Consider the following 22,438-nt stretch of genomic DNA (forward strand, 5'->3'; position numbering starts at 1 on the left):
TGTTAATCGAGAAGTTATATTGTAAATTATAAAATGCCATTATTAATAACTATTATGTGCCAATTCCGCACAAGTGGACATAATTATTTGATATTTATAGTAAGATCACCAAAAAATAATCAGTTTGCTTTATGATACTATACATCACTATCATTCTTAAATGAAAGATAATATAATTTCCATAGTAGAGACAGAATGTCTGATAAAGTAATATACACTTAATGCCGTAGCAACATTCCTTAAACTTTTAAACACTGTCATTCAAGTTTTATCTCTATTTGTCATCCAATATAGGTTTGGCAAAATTAGAAATCTCTTATTAGGAAGTAAAGAGAAAGTTTGTCTTCATAAAGTGGCTGTGAACAAATTCAAACTAGAATTTGCATAAGCCAATTGCTTATACAACTGCCTGTTTCTTCAAACAAGCTCACTAAAGAATGGTCACATTTATTAGAATTTCTGCTTATTTAGTATCCACCCACTTAATCTGGTATCCAGAAAGAACTCAAAATCCAAAACAATGATGGCATCTGGCAATTTTACTATTGATGCACACATTTCACAGAAGATCAAAGTTGTATGATTTGACAGTCAGCAGTGTGGATTTTAATACATTCAATATCCAAGATGGCAGCTTGCATGGGAGTCCCTTGCTACATACAAAGCTTCCAATACAGACACGTTAATCCAATTCAAACGTAATACTGCCTACAAATGAATGCTACAGCAGCCATCTTAATTCTCTATATATTTAGAATGTTCCTCCAAAAAATGTGAAAGATTTTTCTTCTTTAATCAGGGCATTTTTCCCCCTCAATATGTAGCTCTGTCTTAAGCATAAAGACATTCAATCCACTGTTTTGGTTGAGATATCTGGAAAAATACTTGAAGTGTCAATTATAATAATATTCTTTGATCAAGGTTTTCAAATCAGTTTTTAACACACAAAATAAGCTAATTTTTTTCTTTAACAGCTATGCATAGAAATATTTTATTAGTTTTTAATCACAATATTTTTGATAAAAAGTTTCAAATAAATTAAAAAGTAATTTATTTGAATTAAATGTGTTTTATTTGAATCTAATTTTATATTTTTCTAATCTCATATTTTTCATCTAATCTCATTTTTTATCTAATCTCATATTTTTAGATAAATGTTTTTATTTACATTTATATTCTATTCACATCAAGAAAATCATTATGTGGTTGGAATTTTCCTCTTCTACAGAATCTAATCCTTAGAACAATGTAAATATAATCAATAAAAATAAAACATCGTGAAGATTATTCAGTGAAGTTAGGCAATATATGATCCATTGGTCATTATTTAGTCCTTCAGAATTCTTATGTTGCAAATAAAGTAAAACTTAGCCTTTTGATTTAACAATATTTTGAATAATCTTTCTGACCTAGGAAAAGATATAAAGCTGGCAGAAATAAGATACATTTAAAACAGGGTCCACTGATAAAACTGCTTTCCAAAGAAATGAAGGTACATGTGTTAAGAGGTTTAACACATTATTCCTATAGGTCAGTAGGACAGGAACATTAAAATTCACTTATAATTTAGAGGTTGTTAAATTAATTGGGAGGTTGTTACAAAAAAAAAAAAAAAAGAAAGGCTGAGAAAATTCCAGTGCTTTAGTTTCCTATGTAAGCAAAGTGAAGTGTGATGTAAACAGTAAAATACAACTTAAGCTTAGCCAACCAGAAACTGCCACCTAATATCTAATTAGGGACTTTCCACCATATTATATCAAAATAAGGCAAATGGCTAGCTGCAGCAAATTGAGCAATTTCTTTACTTTGCTTCTGGATTCAGCTGATAAAGCCCCCTACTCATGCTGCTAAAACGGAGCACTCTAAAACTCTTCCAATTCTGGGTGCTGCCCAATTCATAAGCCATTCTTTGTTCAAATAAACACTGTCATTTTTATGCCTTTGATATAATGGGCTTTAGGGACTTGGTGGGGAGAAGGGGGAAAGGGAGTGAGGGACAAAAGATTGCACATTGGGTACCGTATACGCTGCTCGGGTAATGGGTGCACCAAAATCTCAGAAATCACCAACTCAAGAGCTTATCCATGTAACCAAACACCATCTGTTCCCCTAAAACGCTATTGAAATAAAACAGAATAAAATACAATTTAAAAAATAAAATAAATAAAAATATATAAAGATGAGAATATGAATAATTTCCCTGGCCAAGGATTAAAAAAAAAAAAAAAGTTGAGATCTGAATCTCCTTCTGGTCCCCTTATTTAATTTTCTCATTAACTCTTATAATTGTTAAGTTGATTGCTTTGTTCTTTTTAGGTACAGAGTCATTTCATCTGTGAATAAATGATTTTGATCAATGAAAGAGTTTAAAATAGTGAAAAAAAACTGTCAAATTTAATTTGTCAAAAGTTTTTCTTTTAACAGCATTCACTAGACGCATATGTCCTATTAACTCATTCACTTCATCAAAATAAAAACACACAAAAATCAATAAAATATAGTATGAGGTGAAGTGTATAATTCACATCTGCTAACTTAGATTTCAGGAGGTGGCTCTGGAGCTAAAACTAGCTGCTGGCTCTTAGCTATACCTAGCACTTAACCTAGCCTGAGGGACAATTAGAAAAGATAGTCTTGAGGAAATCAGCTGAATTTAGGAGACTCTCTCTTATTTTTACCTGCAGGATTTTCTTGCTTTAATTGCTACTGTCACCAGCCAACTGGTTGACTCCAATTAACCCTAGGGAAAATGTTACGAATTAACTATTTTGTCTTAGCTCTGCTACAGTCAGTCCTCTTCCCCTCTCTTTATACTTGGTTTCATTTGTAAAAAACATAAGCAAAGAGTGATTATCAATGTTTACAAGAGAAAATATCATTTCAAATTTAGCATGGGTTAAACTCATGCTTCCAAGAGATAACTCGTTTAAAGACATGAAAGTAATTTCTAGGTCTAGCCTCTGTTTCTATTACTGTATTTCCATAGTGGTTGTCTAGAAACTACATGGCACTGATTGATGCCAACTTAATGAGGTAATATAATTGCCAAAAACACTGAATATAACTATTGTTGGAAACATCAAATAACTTATTTGGAACAGACATAAGATTATCAGAGACATAATTTGAAAAAGACAAAAGTTAAGTCTATATGGAATAGTCCCTGGGAAATGCAAATCAAAACCACAACGAAATACTGTCTCACACCAATCTGGATGGCTATTACTAAAAAGTGAAAAAACAACAGAGGCTGGTGAGGCTGTGGAGGAAAGGAAACACTAATATATTGTTGGTGAAAATGTAAATTAGTTCAGCAACTGTGGAAAGCACTTTGGAAATTTCTCAAAAAACACAACTACATTCCACCCAGCAATCCTATTACCGAGTTTATATCTCAAAGAAAATAAATTGTTGTACCAAAAATATGCATGAAGTTGTACGTTCATTGCAGCACTACTCATCATAGAAAAGACATGAAATCAACCTAGGTGCCCATCAATGGTGGACTGCATAAAGAAAATAGGGTACATACACCCCCCATGGAATACTATGCAGCCATGAAAAGAACAAAATCATGTCCTTTGCAGCAACATGGATGCAGCTGGAGGCCATTGTCCTAAGCACATTAACACAGGAACAGAAAACCAAGTACTACATGTTCTCACTTACAAGTGGGAGCTAAATATTTGGCACTCATGGACATAAAGATGGCAACAATAGACACGGGGGTCTACTAGAGGTGGGAAGAAAGGAGGGGAGCAAGGTTTGAAAAACTAACTGTTGGGAACTATGCTTACTACCTGGCTGACAAGATCGCTCATATCCCAAACCTCAGCATCACACAATAAATCCTTATTACAAGTCTGCACATGTACCTCATGAGTCTAAAATAAAAGTTGAAATTGTTTATAAAAATGATATAAAATAGAACCACAACGAAATGCCACTACAAAAAAAAAAAAAAGAATATTGTTTGGTTAATCTCAGCAAAGAGGAATGTTCTATACAACATTTTTGAATCTTCTCCAGCACAGCTTTCATTCTAACTTGATGCAAACATTTCCAAAAGTTTAATCACAATTACAAATCTGGATTATGGCAATGTCTGAATACAAACATTGAACAAAATCTAACAAATGTTCTGTCATTTAAAGAACTCCAGACAAACAGAAGAGTAGGAAAGGCAGGGACCCAACATGAGCTAAACACTTCATGTGTTCCAGGAACACAGCCAGGATCTTAGCACCAATCTAACGTCAGAAGGCAGACCACTCAAATCAAAAGGTTGAAGAAAGGAGGCTCTGAGAGGTCCTCCAACTGGGACAAAAACATACTGTAAACTTAGATTCACTTGATTCTTTCTGTTACTTGCTCTATGAGTTACCAAAGTCATTAACTTCTGGTGGATCTTGTCCTTACCTGTAAACTTAGACCATTGATTGCTAAATCCTCTTCAATGTCTAAAATACATTATTTTAAATATATGCAGTCAACTGTTACAGTGTTACAGTTTTTTTAGTAATTCAGAGAACCATCTCAGTCATTATTACTTTCAATTCTAAACTACTTCCCGTGTTATTTTTTGTTACCAAAATAGATATTAAATAATTTTTAAACTATATTTTCTTTCTTTTCTTAAATTTAGGAAAATGAGCTGACTTATTTTCCCTTATTTCTTAAATACACATTATTTTTAAATGGTGTCAAGTGTAACATTGTTGACAAAAGACAAATCATTTGAAACCACTCAGGTTTTTAAACATGCAACTCCCAATAGTATTAATTGAAGTATAAGGACTCTAGCTGCTGAGATACTTGAAGAACTCCCTTTGGATTGCCTGTGAGTCTTTCAAAACAATTAAGTATTTGCTTCAGTTCTCTGTGGGCACAATCCTAAAGATGAAAGATGCAATTGTCTATTTACAGAGAGTACTTTTAAGAGAAGGCATTGCTTCCTGCTGCCACGTAGCAGGGCATATCAGCAGGAGTCCATTTGAAATGGCTGGTGGTTTTTCTCTCATCAAGTATTCCATATATCAGACAACATAGGACTGAAAAAGAAAAAGTATGGAAAAACTAGGCATGATTCTGAAAATTCTATTTTATATTTCTTCAAAGATAAATCCTGGACTAAACCATAGCCTTTTAATGTTTCCGGTGTTCGTTGAATGTGATTGCTTTGTTATTGTTTGGTTAATCTCAGCAAACACTTCTAAATTCAAGAGAAATTTCTTCAATCCTGCTCTTTTTGTTCTGAGCTAAGACAGGCTGATAACAGTGGCTGGCACTAGTGAGTAAATTTTATAACCAAAACTGACATCTCACTCAAGTACCCACAATTTAAAAGAGTAATGAATTGTCAGTTTTAACTGGAAAGGGGTTTTTATGTGATTTTAGAAGTCTTTTGAATATTTATTTTGTTCCACTTTACACGAATCTGTCTAAGATTTATCTTGTTACTTCCAAATGTAAGCCTCTCTTGGCCAGATTTGGAAAATAAATTAGAATTTACAAACATTGTGAAGACCGAATCAATACATTAATATTGAGGAGATGTTTGAAAGATTTATTAACCACAAAAGATAGCAAATATTACATCAGAAATATTAAACATGTGTAATCAAAGTCATCAATTGTAGTTATGCATAGACTCTATAAATAGTATAGAGATTTACTTAAATATGCTACAGATTCAATCCAGTCTATCATACGATTATAGCTTACAGGAAGAAAAGCAAGAAATTAAAACTAAAATTGACAGATGGAGTAAGACAGTACATCTTTTTGTGTGTTTTATTCCCTTATCACTGATTTTTAAAAGTAATGCCACATACTTGGACATTAAAAGTCAGCCAAGTAATATTCAGTGAAGGTTTTCATTCAGTCAATAAATATTTAACGAACACCTATTAGAGGCCAGAACACATGCTAGATGTTGGCGATAAACTTTGAATAAGGCATCATCTAAACTGATAAGGGACTTAGAATCCAGTGTATAAACTTGCGAGCAAGCAACTGTTGTAAAAATATGGACAATTAAAAACTGGAATACTTTGGGAAGGATCTTGGTACAAACTGGTTTCAAAAATTTGCAGGTAACGAAATACCTGGATACCTAATAAGTACCAACAACCCTCAAAGACAGACGTGATTATTCTCATTTTACAGAGGAGCAAACTAACCCTGATTGATTATACAATTTGATATTGTTCACTAAAGGTAATAATGCTGATGCTGCTAGAGTGTAAATTTAAGTCCAGATAATTTGACTTGAAAATCCATTCTATTTTTGTTTTACAACTCTGCCTACCATTACTGTTAATTAATAAGTAAAATTCCATTCAAAGTTACATTTGTTTATCTGGCAAAATCTTAAGCTTTTAAAGTAGGTTGAGTGGCCATGTATGAGACTCTTCTAGAGCCTTAGGTTTTTGTTTTTGTTTTTGTTTTTGAGACAGAGTCTCACTCTGTTGCCCAGGCTGGAGTGCAGCGGGACAATCTTGGCACACTGCAGCCTCGGCTTCGCAGGCTCAGGTGGTTCTCCCACCTCAGCCTCCCAAGTAGCTTAGACTATGGGCACACACTACAAAGCCTGGCTAATTATCTTATTTTTTGTAGAGGGTAGGTTTCACCATGTTGCCCAGGCTGGTTTCAAACTCCTGAGCTCAAGTGATCCATCTACCGCAGCTTTTCAAAGTTCTAGGATTACAGACATGAGCCACCACTCCCAGCCTAGAGTCTTAGATTTTAACCAGAATTTCCTGTAGTACTTTAAAAAAATAAAAGAGCTTGAGAACCACCCTAGTGAGAGAAATGTAATTCTATTTTTTATTGAAATCACTGTCTAGATACAAGTCTGTCAAGCATTATACAGAAGAAAATTAAGACAATATACTATTTATTAGTCAATGACATTTCTTCAGTATATTTGATTAAAGTGTATTTGAATGGTAATATTTTAATTGTATTGAGGCTTAATTAGGTTGGTATAAAAATAAAGCAATATGTAAGAGTTTTATAATATGATTTTTATTAAAATATGATTAAGTGTAGTACTGTGGAAAGAGCTCTGGTCAGGAATGAGATGACATCCACTTAAAACCTGGCTCTATTATTACTATCTTTTTGATCTGCAGCAAGAAACTCAACTACTCTGCATTTTAATTTTATTTTCTCTAAAATAGGATTAATATACCTATTCTTCGGTCCTGAGGGAGTTGTAAATAATGCAGAACACATTTAACTGTAGGTATGAATAATGGTAAGGCATGGATTCTAAGCCCCATGAGAACAGGAGCTGTTTTGAGAGCACCAATACCAGAAAGAATAGTGGCCAAGAAATACAAGATTGTTTTACTAAGGTTATGTGAGTAGTTAGCAGCAAAGCTGGAATTAGGATCTTTAGTCTCTGAAGTGTAGTTACTTTCCACTACACTAGTGTTTCCCAAAATAAACAGGTATATTGAGAAAGAAAGAAAGGGCTGTTGTGTCAAGAAAGTTTGATAGAAGATCGACTGAACAGTAAGAAATTTAAAGGGTAAGCTTTGTAATTAGTCTTTAACTTGAGCCTTGGTTTTGGTACTTTCTATTGGTATCATTATGCATAATTTGCTAACCTACAAGAGTCTACCACCACACCCCATTTCCTCCTTCATAAAATACAGATGAGAATAATGTTTATAATTTGTTGCTTTTTGGGTTGACTAATATATTAATGGGTATCAAGAATGTACCCTGGTGTCTGGCAGGTAGTAATGACTACAACAGCCATAGCATATATATTATATGTCTGTGGCTGTTGTAACAAATTATCAGATACTTTGTGACCTAAAACAACAAAAAATGCATTATCTTGCAATTATGTATGTTAAAAGTCCAATAGTAGTCCTACAGGGCGAAGACCAAGGTGTGGGCAGGGCTGCTTTCTTTTGTGGGGACTGTAGGAGAGAATGCACTTTCTTGTCTTTTCCAGCTTTTAAAGACTGCCCACCTTCCTCCTAGTCTCTTCCTCCATCTTCAAAGTTTTCAATAGGGAGTAAGTCCTTCCCACATCTCATAACTCTGATCTGTTTTTCTATATTTTTCTTCTACTTATAATAACCCTCGTTATTACACTGGGCATAACTAGTTAATAAAGGATCATGTCTCTATTTTAAATTCAACTGATGAGAAACTTTCATTTCATCCGTAACCTTAAATCCCTTCACCACAAAAGGTAGCATATTCACAGGTTATAGGAATTAGGACATGACATCTTTGAAGACCATTATTCTGTCTACTACAGCTACTCTGATAAACGTCATTCTTACAGGATCCTGTCTGCATTTATGATTTGTATGTCTTAAAGGGGAGTATAGTATTCAGAGTTTCAAAACTTAATTTGAGTCCCTTTTATTGCAGATCATTTTTTGGAACTTTTACTCCAAAGAATACATTTGAAGCAATATAAGAATAATGTAGTCTACCATATTGTCTCAAATATATTTGTTAATAAATGGACTGTGAGAAAGGATGAATGGATAGATGGATAGATGTATGTACATGTGTGTGTATATATATATAGTACATGTATATATGTATTTATGTATATATGCATATAAATTTCCTATTTGAACATTTTCATGCATTTTGTAATAATTTCAACTTAACTTTGCAAAATAATTTTATCTTTTATCTGACATTTTTAGCACTAATTTTAAATTGTTGGACATGTGTGATTCAGTGCAATTCTCGGAAGAAAATTCTTATCTGTTTGAGTAGGTTCAAAGGTCCACAATATATCCTAAATTCATGTTATTTCTAGCCTCATATATTTATTAAAATATGGAAGCAATCATTTTTAATTAAATTAAATTAATTAATTAATTCTGAGATGGAGTCTCACTCTGTCACCCAGGCTGGAGTGCAGTGGCGCGATCTCAGCTCACTGCAACCTCCACCTCCTGGGTTCAAGTGAGTCTCCTGCCTCAGCCTCCAAGTAGCTGGGATAACAGGCGCCTGCCACCACGCCCAGCTAATTTTTTTATTTTTAGTAGTGATGGGGTTCCGCCATGTTGGCCAGGTTGGTCTTGAACTCCTGACCTCAGATGATTCGCCCACCTCAGCCTCCCAAAGTGCTGGGATTACAGGCATGAGCCACTGCGCCCAGCCGGAAGCAATCCTTTTTTACATTACATTTCTACCCTTACTTAATACAAACAAGACAAGAAAAGAAGCCTGCATAATGTCACTTCTAAACCCATATTTTGCATGTGACATTCCCATGTTCTCGTTTTTGGATGTCTCAGCCTTAGCAATTCGATTTTGAAGGATGAGGAAATATGTTAATACTGAAAGAAGACTCAATGCCAAATGATATGCCTTCATAAATTGATTAGAATTTTCTTTCTATTCATTTTACCCTGATTTAATTTCTGATTATTTTATTTCTAGTTGTTCAGCATTTCTAATCTTTTATAACAAAAGAATGGATGGCACATAGACACAAAAGAAAAAGAAACAGAGCTTCCATTTCTGAATTCTATTATTTTACAGTCATTTACACATGGTTGCAAACTCTAGTAACACAAAGTGTTTCCTCTGAAGGAAAGGAAAAAAAAAAAAAAACAGTGATAACTAAGTACACTCCTTAGTGTATGCAAGACAAACAATATTTTTCCCAGTATGTCTCTAATCCCTCAGTGATAAGCTTCTCTGTGAAGAGTTGATCACAATACCAACATTCTCTCCATTAACATAACAATTGCTAAATTTAAAACAAAGACATTCTAATTTGAACAATATAAGAAGATTGTGAGATATTTCTGGTCCTTGAGATCAGAGCTTATGGTCAACTTAGGATATGATTCTGAGACGCCAATCCTGAACAGGAATTAACTCTTTCTTAGCCAATACCTACCACCATTTATATTCTGAGAAGACACAGAGGACAGGAATACATTATTATATCCTGAGGACAGGAATACATTATTTTCCTTACTTCAGTGTCTGACTCATCTTGGGGCCAGCTTCTCTATAGACAGAATTTGTCCATCCTTTACTTCAACAATCAAAATGTAGGTGATTGTTACATTAATGCCTGATCAAACTTAACCTTTTTGGATTTTTTCCCACATTTCACAGAAGAGCTAAATGAGGTACAAAGTTGTGCTCTGAATGGATAAGTTAACTGGAAATAAGTCTAAGCCCAGGTAATGAAAACCAGATACTTTAAATTATTTCCATTCATTTGATCATCCCACTTTTCATATGATTTCGAGTTTGGTGCTATCATTTGCTGTTGTCACTCCCATTTACCAGAAAGTGGTGTAAGCCCCTTCTCTCTTTCCTAGAGAAATGTGGGGGTGTTGGTTTAGTCATCTCATAGTTTACACAAAGCATCCACATACTACAGTATTCAGTCCGATGGAAAGATAATGTTTTTTTCTTGAGAATAATTTTTGAGTAGCCTCCTGATGGGAGGATTGAGAGCTACCACAGCTCATGTAGTAATCTCTCTCACTGTCTCTGTCTCTGTCTCTGTGTTTCTTGCTTGTGTCATAATATCAAAGAAGTTAGGAAACAATGTTGTTTCCCTTTTCAGTGTTTCCATATAGATACTCATGATGCCATCATTTGTCTGTAATCACTGCCTATTATTACCTATTTTAACTAAGTGGATTTCTTTGCTCTTGTGTTCTTATTTTTGCTATTGCTAATGGCCATCATTTTGTTTATAAAGTCTTTTGGGATGCTATTAAGTCTTTCCTCTTCCTTTAGTTGAAACCAAAAGTTTTTTCCAATTTGGGCTGCAATTAGTCTCTCATTACGACTGTTAGAGGCTACATCATGAAGTCCTTTTTTTTTAATGTTTTGTCAGGCTAGGAGATGACTGGACTAAAATAAAAATAAAAAGGTTAGCAAGAATCTCATTAATTCTGATTTTAAAAAGTGACTAAGTGGCATTTGAACATATTTAGATATGATAAGAAGCCTTTTTGTCATTACAAAGTTGAAAAATGGCTTGGCATATGCATTTATCTATGTTGTGCTGTCATCACTAAAGAATAGAAAAAATAGAAAGTTGGAGAAATAAGCAGCTAATATTTATAACAAAGTTGTTTGACACATCTATTGAATAAGAAGTTAGAGTAATAAATAAAAGGAGAAATTGAGGAGCAAAAACAAATAACTGACCTTTTCATCGGGTTATGAATGCACACACAAACCTCTTAAAAGATATTTATTATATATAATAATAATAGTGTCATTCATTGTACTGACTTTGTGTCCAGTTCTTAACACATTTCATTTCTTAATTTTGAAGGAAATTCTATAATGTGGGTTTCATTCTCCACAAAACTTCCCATAGACTAAGGGTCTCAAACTTGGGTTAATATAGCTCCTAAGTGGCAGAGCCAAGGTCCACGTTCAGATAAGTCTTACTCCAGCACGTTCATCCTTTCCAATGTGTATGCCTGTGTAATATCGTAATTTAGGAGAAGCCATTTTCTCCACAGAACATGGTTCCATTAGTAATAATAACATAAATTAATTCATTAAGAGATCATATATTGAGAAGTATAAATAAGCATATTACTTGCCCTCATGTGGTTTACCTTTGAGCGAGAAACACAGATACTTTAACAAGTAACAGACTATGATAGGACCGCCAAAAGGATGTTCAGAGATGTTCAGAGAAGAAATGATTAATCCTACTTAGAGGGAAGGAAGAGTGCTTAGGAAAGAACAAAAACACAGAGGTGTGACACATCAGGTTCTTTAAGGGAAGAGCAAAATTTTCAGTATTCCCAGAGGGTAAGGGTGGGCAAAAGAGAGAAGAGAGGGGCAGAAGGATTGTTGCCCTGGGGGAAGCAGGGAGTGGGGGTTTCCCTGCCATTCTGACTACACTTCTTCCTACAGAGATATCCTTAAACTAGTATCATTTATTTAAATGTTTATTTTATACTATCTGATGCTTCAATGTCTATTAATATTATAATTTTAAAAGTTAAATAAAGTATAAAGCATAAAGTTAAAAGTATGATGAGTCTTATCAGAAACAAAATGTTTTATGTTCTCCCTTACTAATCATCAGGATAGTAAGCAACAGACAGCAAAGTTTAAGCAAAGTTCTACATAATATAAAGATCCTTAAAAAATACCCATTCATCATGAAACACTGAAAATGTAAAGAATATATTTAGAATCATGAGATCAAAATACCAGGCCAGGTGCTGTGGCTCACGCCTGTAATCGCAACACTTTGGGAGGCCGAAGCGGGTGGATCACCTGAGGTCAGGACTTTGAGACCAGCCTGGCCAACATGGTAAAACACCGTCTCTACTAAAAAAATACAAAAAATTAGCCAGGCATAGGGGCGTGTGCTTGTAATCACAGCTACTTGGGAGGCAGAGGCAGGAGAATTGCTTGAACCTGGGAGGTGGAGGTTGAAGTGAGCCGAGATTGCACCATTGCACTCCAGCCTGGACAGCAAGAGTGAAACTCTGTAAAAAAGACAAAACAAAACAAAACAAAACAAAAACCAGAGATCTTTCAATTCCAAGTGCATAGTACTCTAACTTATCATTAGACAGATTATTCCCAGTGAAAGTCCTCATTTTTTAGTCAACCATAGGTAGTGTTTTTATTCTGAGCTTAGCAAAAGAGGTCCATGGGGCTGTGTGTGATGGGCAATTTCTGATTATTTGACTGACAACGGGAGTCTGGGAAAAAGAGAAAGGCAGAGGTCACTGTCACATTTTCTTCTCAGTGTTTCCTGTGTGTGTATATGCCCTCTATAGCTCCATCTGTGTCAATGCTCATTGTTTTATGTAATAGAGAGGACTGAGGCCACACTTGGCACAGCAGCCTGTGCACTGGGCGCCAATGGCTACTCATAAATGTCACGCTATAGTGATGCTTTGGAATGTTAAATATTGCACTGGGATAAGGAGAGAGCTGGAAAACTATGAATCATACCGAATTAAATTGTTATATTTACTTATAATAACCCTTATTTTTTCAGAAGGTGATGTACTAGAAGTCTGACCTCTTCATTTATCTTGAAGAAATAAAACAGAAGACAAATTTGTGTCTGAAATATATAGCTTTCTATTTGATTAACTCCATATTTTAAGGCTTCAGTATGTTACATGAAATATCTGTGAATTTGAAGGGTTCAGAGATTAAAACATTCTTTCTCTTTGATCTTGATAAGGCCATATCAATTTTTTTTAACTACATGCAAATGTAAAGAGTAAGTCGGACGGGTGCGGTGGCTCATGCTTGTAATCCCAGCACTTTGGGAGGCGGAGGCGGGCGGATCACGAGGTCAGCAAATCGAGACCACGGTGAAACCCCGTCTCTACTAAAAATACAAAAAATTAGCCGGGCCTGGTGGCGGGCGCCTGTAGTCGCCAGCTACTCGGAGAGGCTGAGGCAGGAGAATGGCGTGAACCCGGGAGGCGGAGCTTGCAGTGAGCCCAGATTGCGCCACTGCACTCCAGCCTGGGCGACAGAGCGAGACTCCGTCTTAAAAAAAAAAAAAAAAAAAGTAAGTCATATATATTTTGGAAGCGGCCAAATTGAACAGCAAACCACTCTTCAAAAAGCACAAATTGAGTTAGGTTGCCTTTAAGAACGACCTCACTGCTGTGTGCTCTACTGCAACGTTAAAAGAAGAACACATCATGCCTGGCGTGGTGGCTCAGGCCTGTAATCCCAGCACTTTGGGAGGCCGAGGCGGGCGGATCACAAGGTCAGGAGATCGAGACCATCCTATCTAACATGGTGAAACCCCGTCTCTACTAGAAATATAAAAAATTAGCCGGGCATGGTGGCGGGTGCCTGTAGTCCCAGCTACTCGGGAGGCTGAGGCAGGAGAATGGCGTGAACCCGGGAGGCAGAGGTTGCAGTGAGCCGAGATTGCGCCACTGCACTCTAGCCTGGGCGACAGAACGAGACTCTGTCTCAAAAAAAAAAAAAAAAAAAAAAAAAAAAAAAAAAAAAAAAGAAGAAGAAGAACACATCATACTGTCAAAAACAAGTGTATGAACTGTGAGCTCAAAAGCCCAAAAGCCTTGCAGTAATCCCAACCACATGTCAAGTCTCAGAAAGTGGGACGGTTTCTCCTTTGGAGTTGGGGAACAAAAAAACACTCCAAGGTGTGCAAAGCCAGCAACTCTCCATGAGAGATGGATGAGCCTTCAATGGTTTCTGCTTTCAAATAATTGTTCAAATGGTCTGCAAGGTATCTTCATTAGCTAAATAAATAACTTTGAGAGCAATTTTTTATTTGTTCAGAGCAGACTTAAAGTAACTATTCCAGGAGTCTTTACTAGGTCAGAGGCTTCAAGGGTAAATTTATGTTACCTTGAAAAACACACATAGCTTTTTGGGTAAAATGCTCTTTTTAAATGAGAGTATGGTATGCTGTGCCAAAAAAAAAAAAATCGAGTAAGTTGAACCTGAAAAAATGAGTTTTCTTCTTTGTGTTGTTATCCTGACATTTCATTCTTGGTCACTCAGGCCCCAATTTGCTAATATACTCAAAGCCTGACTCACTTCACATCATTTCATTGTTTGCTCAGAACAGATTGTATAACCAGCAAAGTTAGAAGGTCAAGTTTATCGATTAAAACCCACAGCAATGAAATATCTGTTAAGCCGGGGTAACTGATTCCCATGTGGCTTAATCCACATAGAATTTTTCCAGATGGAGTGATTTTGATAAAAATTTGCAGTACTGTGAGATTTCAACAAAACAAAAATATAAATAGATGCATTATTATTTTAAAATTACAGTGCTCACATTCACAAGTTGAATGAATACCTCCACCTCTACATTCTTCCTTCCATTTCTACAGGATCCACAGTAGTTCTCAGCTCTCACTCAAAGGTGGACTAACACAATAATTTTCCAGCTGGATTCTCTTTCTCAAGTGTTTACATCATAATTGTGTTTTACTCAAACAAAATATCTATTATGCTGCTTCCGTCTTCCTCCATAATCAAACCCAAGCTGATCCAAAAAGATGCAGAAGGGATCACCAATATACCAAGGCTCGTTATCCTGAACAATATTTGAAGAGGACAGCCTCATAGTAATGCTAGACAATGTTCAATGTAATGATTACCTAAATTCATCACACTGTTATACAACAACATCTTTTGTGGATAAGTTGATAATAGATGTTACCAAATTCTCTATTAGCTAATCTTTTTTGTCTTTCTAATACAAACTATCTTAACCTTTTTTTTTTTTTTTTAGCATCAGGAACTTTGAGAACAGGATAAAAACTACAGTTACTCTTTCCAGGGGAGAAGTATCAAAAAGTACCAAATTTTGCATATACTCTCGTTGATTTTTTGGTTAGTGAATCCTTTAATTTAAAATCAAGTCTCCTTGTTTTGGCCAATGTAACAGCTATTGTTAGGGTAAAATTGTTCCTCAATAAACAAACAACAAGCAAACATAATACCACATTAGCCAAGAAAGCCTAGGTTCGAGTTTGAGGAAAGTTGTCTTTAAAAATCTCAAACATATTTTGTCAATCTTATCAATATTTCACCATTTCTTCATATATCTAAGACTGTGTTTCAATAGTTATTGCCAGCTGCAGAGATGGTGGAACTGAATGGATAACTTTGAACTTTCCATGCAATGACACTCATAACTGCTGCTTCCCCTGGCAGCTTCTTAATCTGGGGAAGCTCCAGCTGTGGCTCTCCAGGGTTCTCTGCTTAAGCTCTCTGCAGCTGCTCCTCTCAGTATTGAATGGCTCCAGTCAGCAGTTGAGCTCAGCAATTATAGCCTCCTACAACTGCTCCCCAGAGTCCTCCATTTTCCCCATTGCTTCTACATGCTCAAACCACCTCCAAGCCATCTCCAGCTCCGAGGAGCTGTACATTTGAGTATCTCTTTGTCAGTACTACTTCTAAAGGCCATCTTATGGTAATGCTCTGATTGAGCTATTCCTCTCATCTTGTCCTGTTCCTACTCCTTCCCCACAGTTCTTATTCCATTTTATGGAACAAGACAATGCGAGTTTATACATCTAATTGCTTATTCAGCACTTGCTGAGACTTGAAGTAGCTCCTCATTGAGCTCTGAATGACTTACTATATACCCTAAGAGTAACTTTCAAGCAGTATACTATGGCTATCACTTCATGCCTTGTAATTAAACCTCAAGCCTATCCACTACTTCACCCCAAAAGCTGGGTATGATCCTACAGAAAAAGAAGACCTGCCTTATGTGCCCTATATATACATCTGTCCTAGCCCCTACCTAACTTTAGTGCACTCATTTGCCCCCAAGTCAGTATCCCCCAGCTGATAGGTAATTTCCTTGAAAAGAAGGACTAATTTTTATTTGCAGATCTTTCTTTTCCAACACTTACAACAATGCTTAGCACGAAGCAAATGCTCAAAGGATGTGGCTAAGTTGCTTTAGAGTTAGTGTCCAAAATCAGTTAACTGGTTTACTGAAGAGGCACAAATTGCTCTTCACTAGTTTCTCCACCCGGCACAGGTGCAGGTGTAAAAATCAAAGCTCAGAATACTTCTAGACAGCTCACAGCTCCCAGGGTAAATATATAATCACAGCTCTACAGCCTCTCTGTAAGTTATTTTTCTTAAAGTTTCAGTCTGTGTGGTAATGAAAGACTCCTATTTTCACTCATGCCATTGTGTATTTGTAGCTCTAATATTCATTAAGGATGCAACTGAAATGTTAATGATAATCGCACCCAAAAGCTAATAAAGAGAAGCCCAAGGCTCACATAAATGCCAGCATTTAATAATTATGCATACTTTTAGCTTTTCCCCAATTTATCTTACTTTCTAATAATTAGTTTAATAAATCTGAGATCCCAATATATGTGTAATTAATTTTAAATTTTGTTTTTAAATTTGCTTTTGATATTCAGGAATGAGACATATTTTTCCTAGAATGTAAGGCAGTAATTATCATTATATAAAATGGTTAACTATATAAAGGATAGAGCTTAAACACTTGCCTTTTGCGAATATTTACAACTCAAAACCACTGGAAATTTTAAGAAAAAATCTTTACCAGTTGGGATACAGCCAGGAAAGTAGAAACCAATCTAAGTACATTTGACCTTTGAACAATGCAGGTTTAAACTTCAAGAGTCCATGTACACTTGGATTTTCTTTCACCTCTGCCACCAGACACAGCAGGACCAACCCCTCTTCTTTCTCCTCTGCTTTAGCCTATTCAATGTGAAGATGAGCATAAAGAACTTTATGATGTTCCACTTTTATTTAATGAATACTAAATATATTTTCTCTTTTCTGTGATTTTCTTAATAACATTTTCTTCCCTTTAGCTTACTGTATTGTAGGAATACAGTATAGAATACATATATATTCTTATAGATACAGTATAAGAATATATATAGAATATTATATATATAGAATAGATACAGTACAAGAATATATATATATATATATATATATATATATAGAATACCATCGCATGGTTCATACATATACATACATATTTTATAACATAAAATATGTGTTAATTGACTATGTATGTTATTGGTAAGGCTTCCAGTTAATAGTAGGCTATTAGTAAAGTTTTTGGGGAGTCAAAGGTTATGTGCAGATTTTTGACTGTGTAGGAGGTCAGTGTCCCTAACCCTCATGTTGTTCAAGCGTCAACTGTATTTCAAAAAAAGGATGGTCTAATACAGAGAAGTTTTTACATACGTGATGAAAGTCTAAGAAGCCAGAGCACATGAAGGAGAGAACCTCAGAGATTTGTAACAAGAAGAAGCCGCTAATACTTTTGTAAGCAGGTCTCACTGCCAGAGCCCACAGGTCAGGACTGTTCAATAGCAGCTAGGCCCATGACATGGGGTTTCCCAGTGTGAGCTGTGCCAATAGGAGGATGGGCTGTCCAGCTGAACCTGGAGCCAAGGAAATAAAAGGCTTTGGAGGAGACACCGCCTGTGACAATAAGAGAGAGGAAAATAGCCTGATTTCTCTCTTTCTCCAGTCTACAATCACTCTCTTGCCAGTATCTCCCATTGAGTGAACCCTGCCAGAAACTAAAAAACATAGTAGGCTGGGAATGCACCTTCTGGTGTGGGGGCAACATAGAGCATAGCAAGAGAGGTGCAGAGAATAGCTTTGAGATCAAATAGGCAAAAATGAGTGCATAATATCTTTCCGTTAATTTTAGGTAGAAGTTTTCAAAAAATATACGATTATTTTCAATTATGTTCAAAACCTTAACATTGGTATAAATTTGTTATATCCTTTTCACATAGAATTTCTCCATGAGAAGGGTAATTAATTTTGTTGATATTTTACAGTCTAACTTTGTTGTCTAAATTCTTAGTAAAGATCACTTGGAATCAGTGAGAGCAATATCAATTGCATCCTAATTCAAAAGGAGAAAGAAGAAAGGACCTATATGTACACTATTAGCACTTTGGAAAAAGAAAGATTATAACTCAGATTGAATATCTACTCTGAGTTGGACACTTCAAGAAATATATATCTAATTGTTTTTTAGATTTTTATAGCAAACCAGAGAGCTGGGGATTACTTTTTACTTCTCAGAGGATGGAGGTGAGTGTTAAATAGATGAAGACAGTTGACCAAGTTCATATGCTTTATAAATATTAAAAGTGAATGTGACTTGAGGTCAATCTAATACTTATGCCATGCTAAACTACTTAAGAAAAAGAATACTGATCTTTACTAGTGTCAACAGGGGAAACAGACCAGAGAGAAAAAATACAGAAGAATTTTCTCTGGTCATTGGCTGGTTTATACTCTAAGAGACTTCACTCCTTCACTCTATCATCCATTAAATATTTATTTCAGCCCCTTTTATATGCAGCCCCTGTTCTGCTCACTCAGGTTAGGTCAGTAAGATAGATACGATCCATATTTTCATGGAGCTTTTCACAACCCGCCATGCATTTGAAAATTAAAGCATTTGTCTTCTATTCCATCAGTGGTTCTCAACTAGGGGTGATTTTCGCCCCAGCAGACATTTAAGTGTCACAAGCAGGGAATGCTGCTAGTGTCCATATGTTGAGGCCAGGGCACCTTACACTTGGACAGCGATACACACACACACACACTCTCTCTCTCTCTCTCACACACACACACACACTCACATGGCCAAAATGTCAATAGTACTGAGGTTAAGAAACTTATTCTAGATGGATATAAAGGTGCCTTTATTTTAGAGTGTGTATATGTGTGAATGTGCACGGGGAGTGTATTAGTTTTCCTATTGGCTGCCATAACAAATTATTACAAATTTAGTGGCTTAAAACAACACAAGTGTATCTTACATGTCTGTTAGGGTAGACATGTCTCACTCAGCTATACTCGAGGTGTTGGCAGGGCTGAAGTCCCTTCTGGAGTTTCTAGAGGAGATTTCATTTCCTTGACTTTCCTGGCTTCTAAAGTCTATCCATATTCCTTGGCTCAGGGTCCCCTTCCTCTATCATTAAATCCAGCCATTGTAGGTTGAGTCCTTCTTCAGCACATCAATCTGGCCTACATCAGCAGTCAGCTCCCTCTGACCATTCTTTTGCCTTCCTCTTCCACTTTTAAGGTCCCATGTGATTTCACTGGGCCTGACTGGATAAGCAAAGTTAATAGGCACTTTCTTTTTTTTTTTCTTTTTTTGTGGCAGGGTCTCGTTCTGTCACCCAGGCTGGAGTGCAGTGGCACGATCACCACTCACTGTAGCCTCCACCTTTTGTGCCCAAGCAATCCTCTCACCTCAGCCTCCAAAGTAGCTGGGACCACAGCAGCTATTTAAAAAAAAATTGTAGAAATAGGGTCTCCCCGTGTTGTCCAGGATGGTCTCAAGTGATCCTCCTGCTTCGTTCTTCCAAAGTGCTGGGATTATAGGCTAGCCCTGTCTTAAAATCAGATTACATTTTTCCTTGCCACTTAACCTAACAAATTCATTGGTTCTGGAGATGAGGATGTAGTCACATTGGGAGACTGTATCATTCGGTCTACCACAAGGGGTAATGAATGAATGTAGGTGCAACATTTAGCAAAGTTATTTGCACATAGTTGGTATTGAATTAAAGTGAGACTTCATAAGTCTTTATTGACATAAACTGAAGTCATCCTGCCTGCTCTTTTAAAATGGGCTCACTTAAAATGAACAACTCCTAAGCAGAGTGAATAACAACACATCTCACTTTATTCTGCACTAATAAATAGCTGCAAAATCTGTCCTTCCTCAAGTCTTCAATATTTCATTTAAAAAAGGGTCCATCCACCCATTTGTTCAAGTCAAAACCTAAAAGAATGAGCAAAATCCTCAGATAAAATTTTAATTGTGTAACTGTTGGCTCTTTTTAAATGTTAAACTCTTGTTTGGGTTTGGCATTAGAAACGATTGGCTACAGTCTTTGTAGCTAACTCTGTCCCATGTAAAGTATATTTTTCCTCAAAATAACATTGCTAGGGTAGAATATATTTTGTAGAATGCTGGTGTCTTATTTGTTACTTTTTACTACAACACGCATTCACTATTCTACACTTGTGAAAATATGGAAATTATAGAGAATAAGAAGGTTTTGGCCTCAAATAAAAATAAGCAATCTAAGTCATGAATGTCTAACTAATCCTTTTTTTTTTTCTTATTATGTCAGCATTCACGGTCTTATGTGTCCTAAAGATAGCATCAACATACTAAGTCACAGCTTAAGCAAAACGATTGGCATGAAGCTAGGCAGAAAGAAATACGTGCATTTATAAAAACAATAAAACTCTACTGAGTTTCTAACATTTGTCAGACACCATCCTGGTTGAGAGTCAAAAAATAAAATAAAATAAAATAAGACCTAGTCATCACGCTCAAGAAGTTGACTTGAGATCTTTCTTGGAGTCCACAAATAGATTTACGGTGTTCATAAGCCTGTGCTCATGTAAAGAAGTATGCTAAAGGTATGTGTATTTTTCCAGAGAAGGGGTCTACAAATTTCATCAGATTTTCAAATGGGTTCATGACCACAAACTGTTTAAGGGCCACTTGTCCAAATGCAAACCTGCAAATGCGGGCTAGAAAACTGACAACTTAGTGCAGGTGCATGGTCCCTTTTTCCCCGAATCTTTCCACTTCTAACCTCTTGCTAGATTACTAACCAGAAGATGCTGAAGGGATGGGTGGCGAAGTATGGGAAGAGAGATATTGGAACATAGCCTCACTCTAATTCTGCAAACTAAGCTTTGCCACCAGTTTTAATTGTGTCCATTTTCTTGTTGGTGCTACATATGATTAATCCTTATTTTTCTACTACAGATCATAGAGTAAACAATATTAGCAGATTCCAATTTTCTCCTGCAAAATGTTATCTTTGCTTTACATAATGGTTACAAGGAGTATTGTCAGTTGGCATTTAACTAATGAAAACAGTAAATTCCTAATTGCCTTTATAGTGATATCTTAATTATATACATGATTTGGGAAAAAAAAAAAGAAAAATTATTTCATAGATCAAATCCCATTAAAACGACTCCAAGAAGAAAAGTTATTTCACCAGACATAGGTTTTATTTGCAGTGTTTCTTAAAATAAATGTGCCAGCTAGAGGTTAGTAATCTTTTATTTATAGAGAGATTTTCATAGTGATAGTGTACATTGCACTGGGATTTGACATGTATTACTTACACAGTTATTTTCTTTGTTTTTTTTAAGAGAAAATGAATATACTCCAAGATAGGCAACAAATATAACCACTTTCCAATACAGATTTCACATGCAAAACTAAGAATTACTACCAAGAACATGAAAATGTGATCAGTCTGCTGAGCTCTGACATACTTATCAAACTCTGTGCTTCAGGAATTGTAAGAAACATCCATTAATCATTAAAGGGACTTTTAAAAGCAGCAAATCTTGCTGAAAGGGATAATTACTTTAAATTATTTTCAAATTGTAATTTTGGACTGTGTGTTATCAAAAACAGAAATACTGCCTTAGTCTCCAAATGAATAATATATAATATTCTTCTTCTTTCTTATATATCCTATTCCCAGATATGTTTTTATGGAATACTTGCCACTCTAATTCAAGCTGAAAACTTGAAAAAAAAAAGGATAAAGTAGGGCAACATTTCTCCTCATCAACACTGACCACAAGCTGTATAATTATTTGATTTTTGGCCCTCTTCTACCACCCTCTCAACATATTATTCATCTCATGAGTAGATCCAAGACACTGAATTAGAATCTTCCTTGCTGGTATAATTTCCTAGTTAGCAAAGATGCTTATTTAAATTCCAATAGTGCTCCTCCTTTCTGCTATGAACTCACAAAGTTCCTTCTATAGGAAAAAAAAAAAGAGATGACTCAGATGGAAGCCGACAATGTGTGGTGGCTATCAATATGATTTTTTTTTTTGGCTCTTCCCTACTTGTCTTTCATTGGCAAGTAACAACAAA

At 35.7% G+C, this 22,438-nt stretch overlaps 1 protein-coding gene across 4 annotated transcripts in view; it reads right to left on the bottom strand.

The window, feature by feature from the left end:
- The window catches only part of NEGR1 (neuronal growth regulator 1), an 886,597-nt gene that overhangs the window by 508,322 nt on the left and 355,837 nt on the right, over positions 1-22,438 (bottom strand). The window lies entirely within an intron of this gene.

This window comes from Homo sapiens, chromosome 1, assembly GCF_000001405.40.
Source record: "Homo sapiens chromosome 1, GRCh38.p14 Primary Assembly".
NCBI lineage: Eukaryota > Metazoa > Chordata > Mammalia > Primates > Hominidae > Homo > Homo sapiens.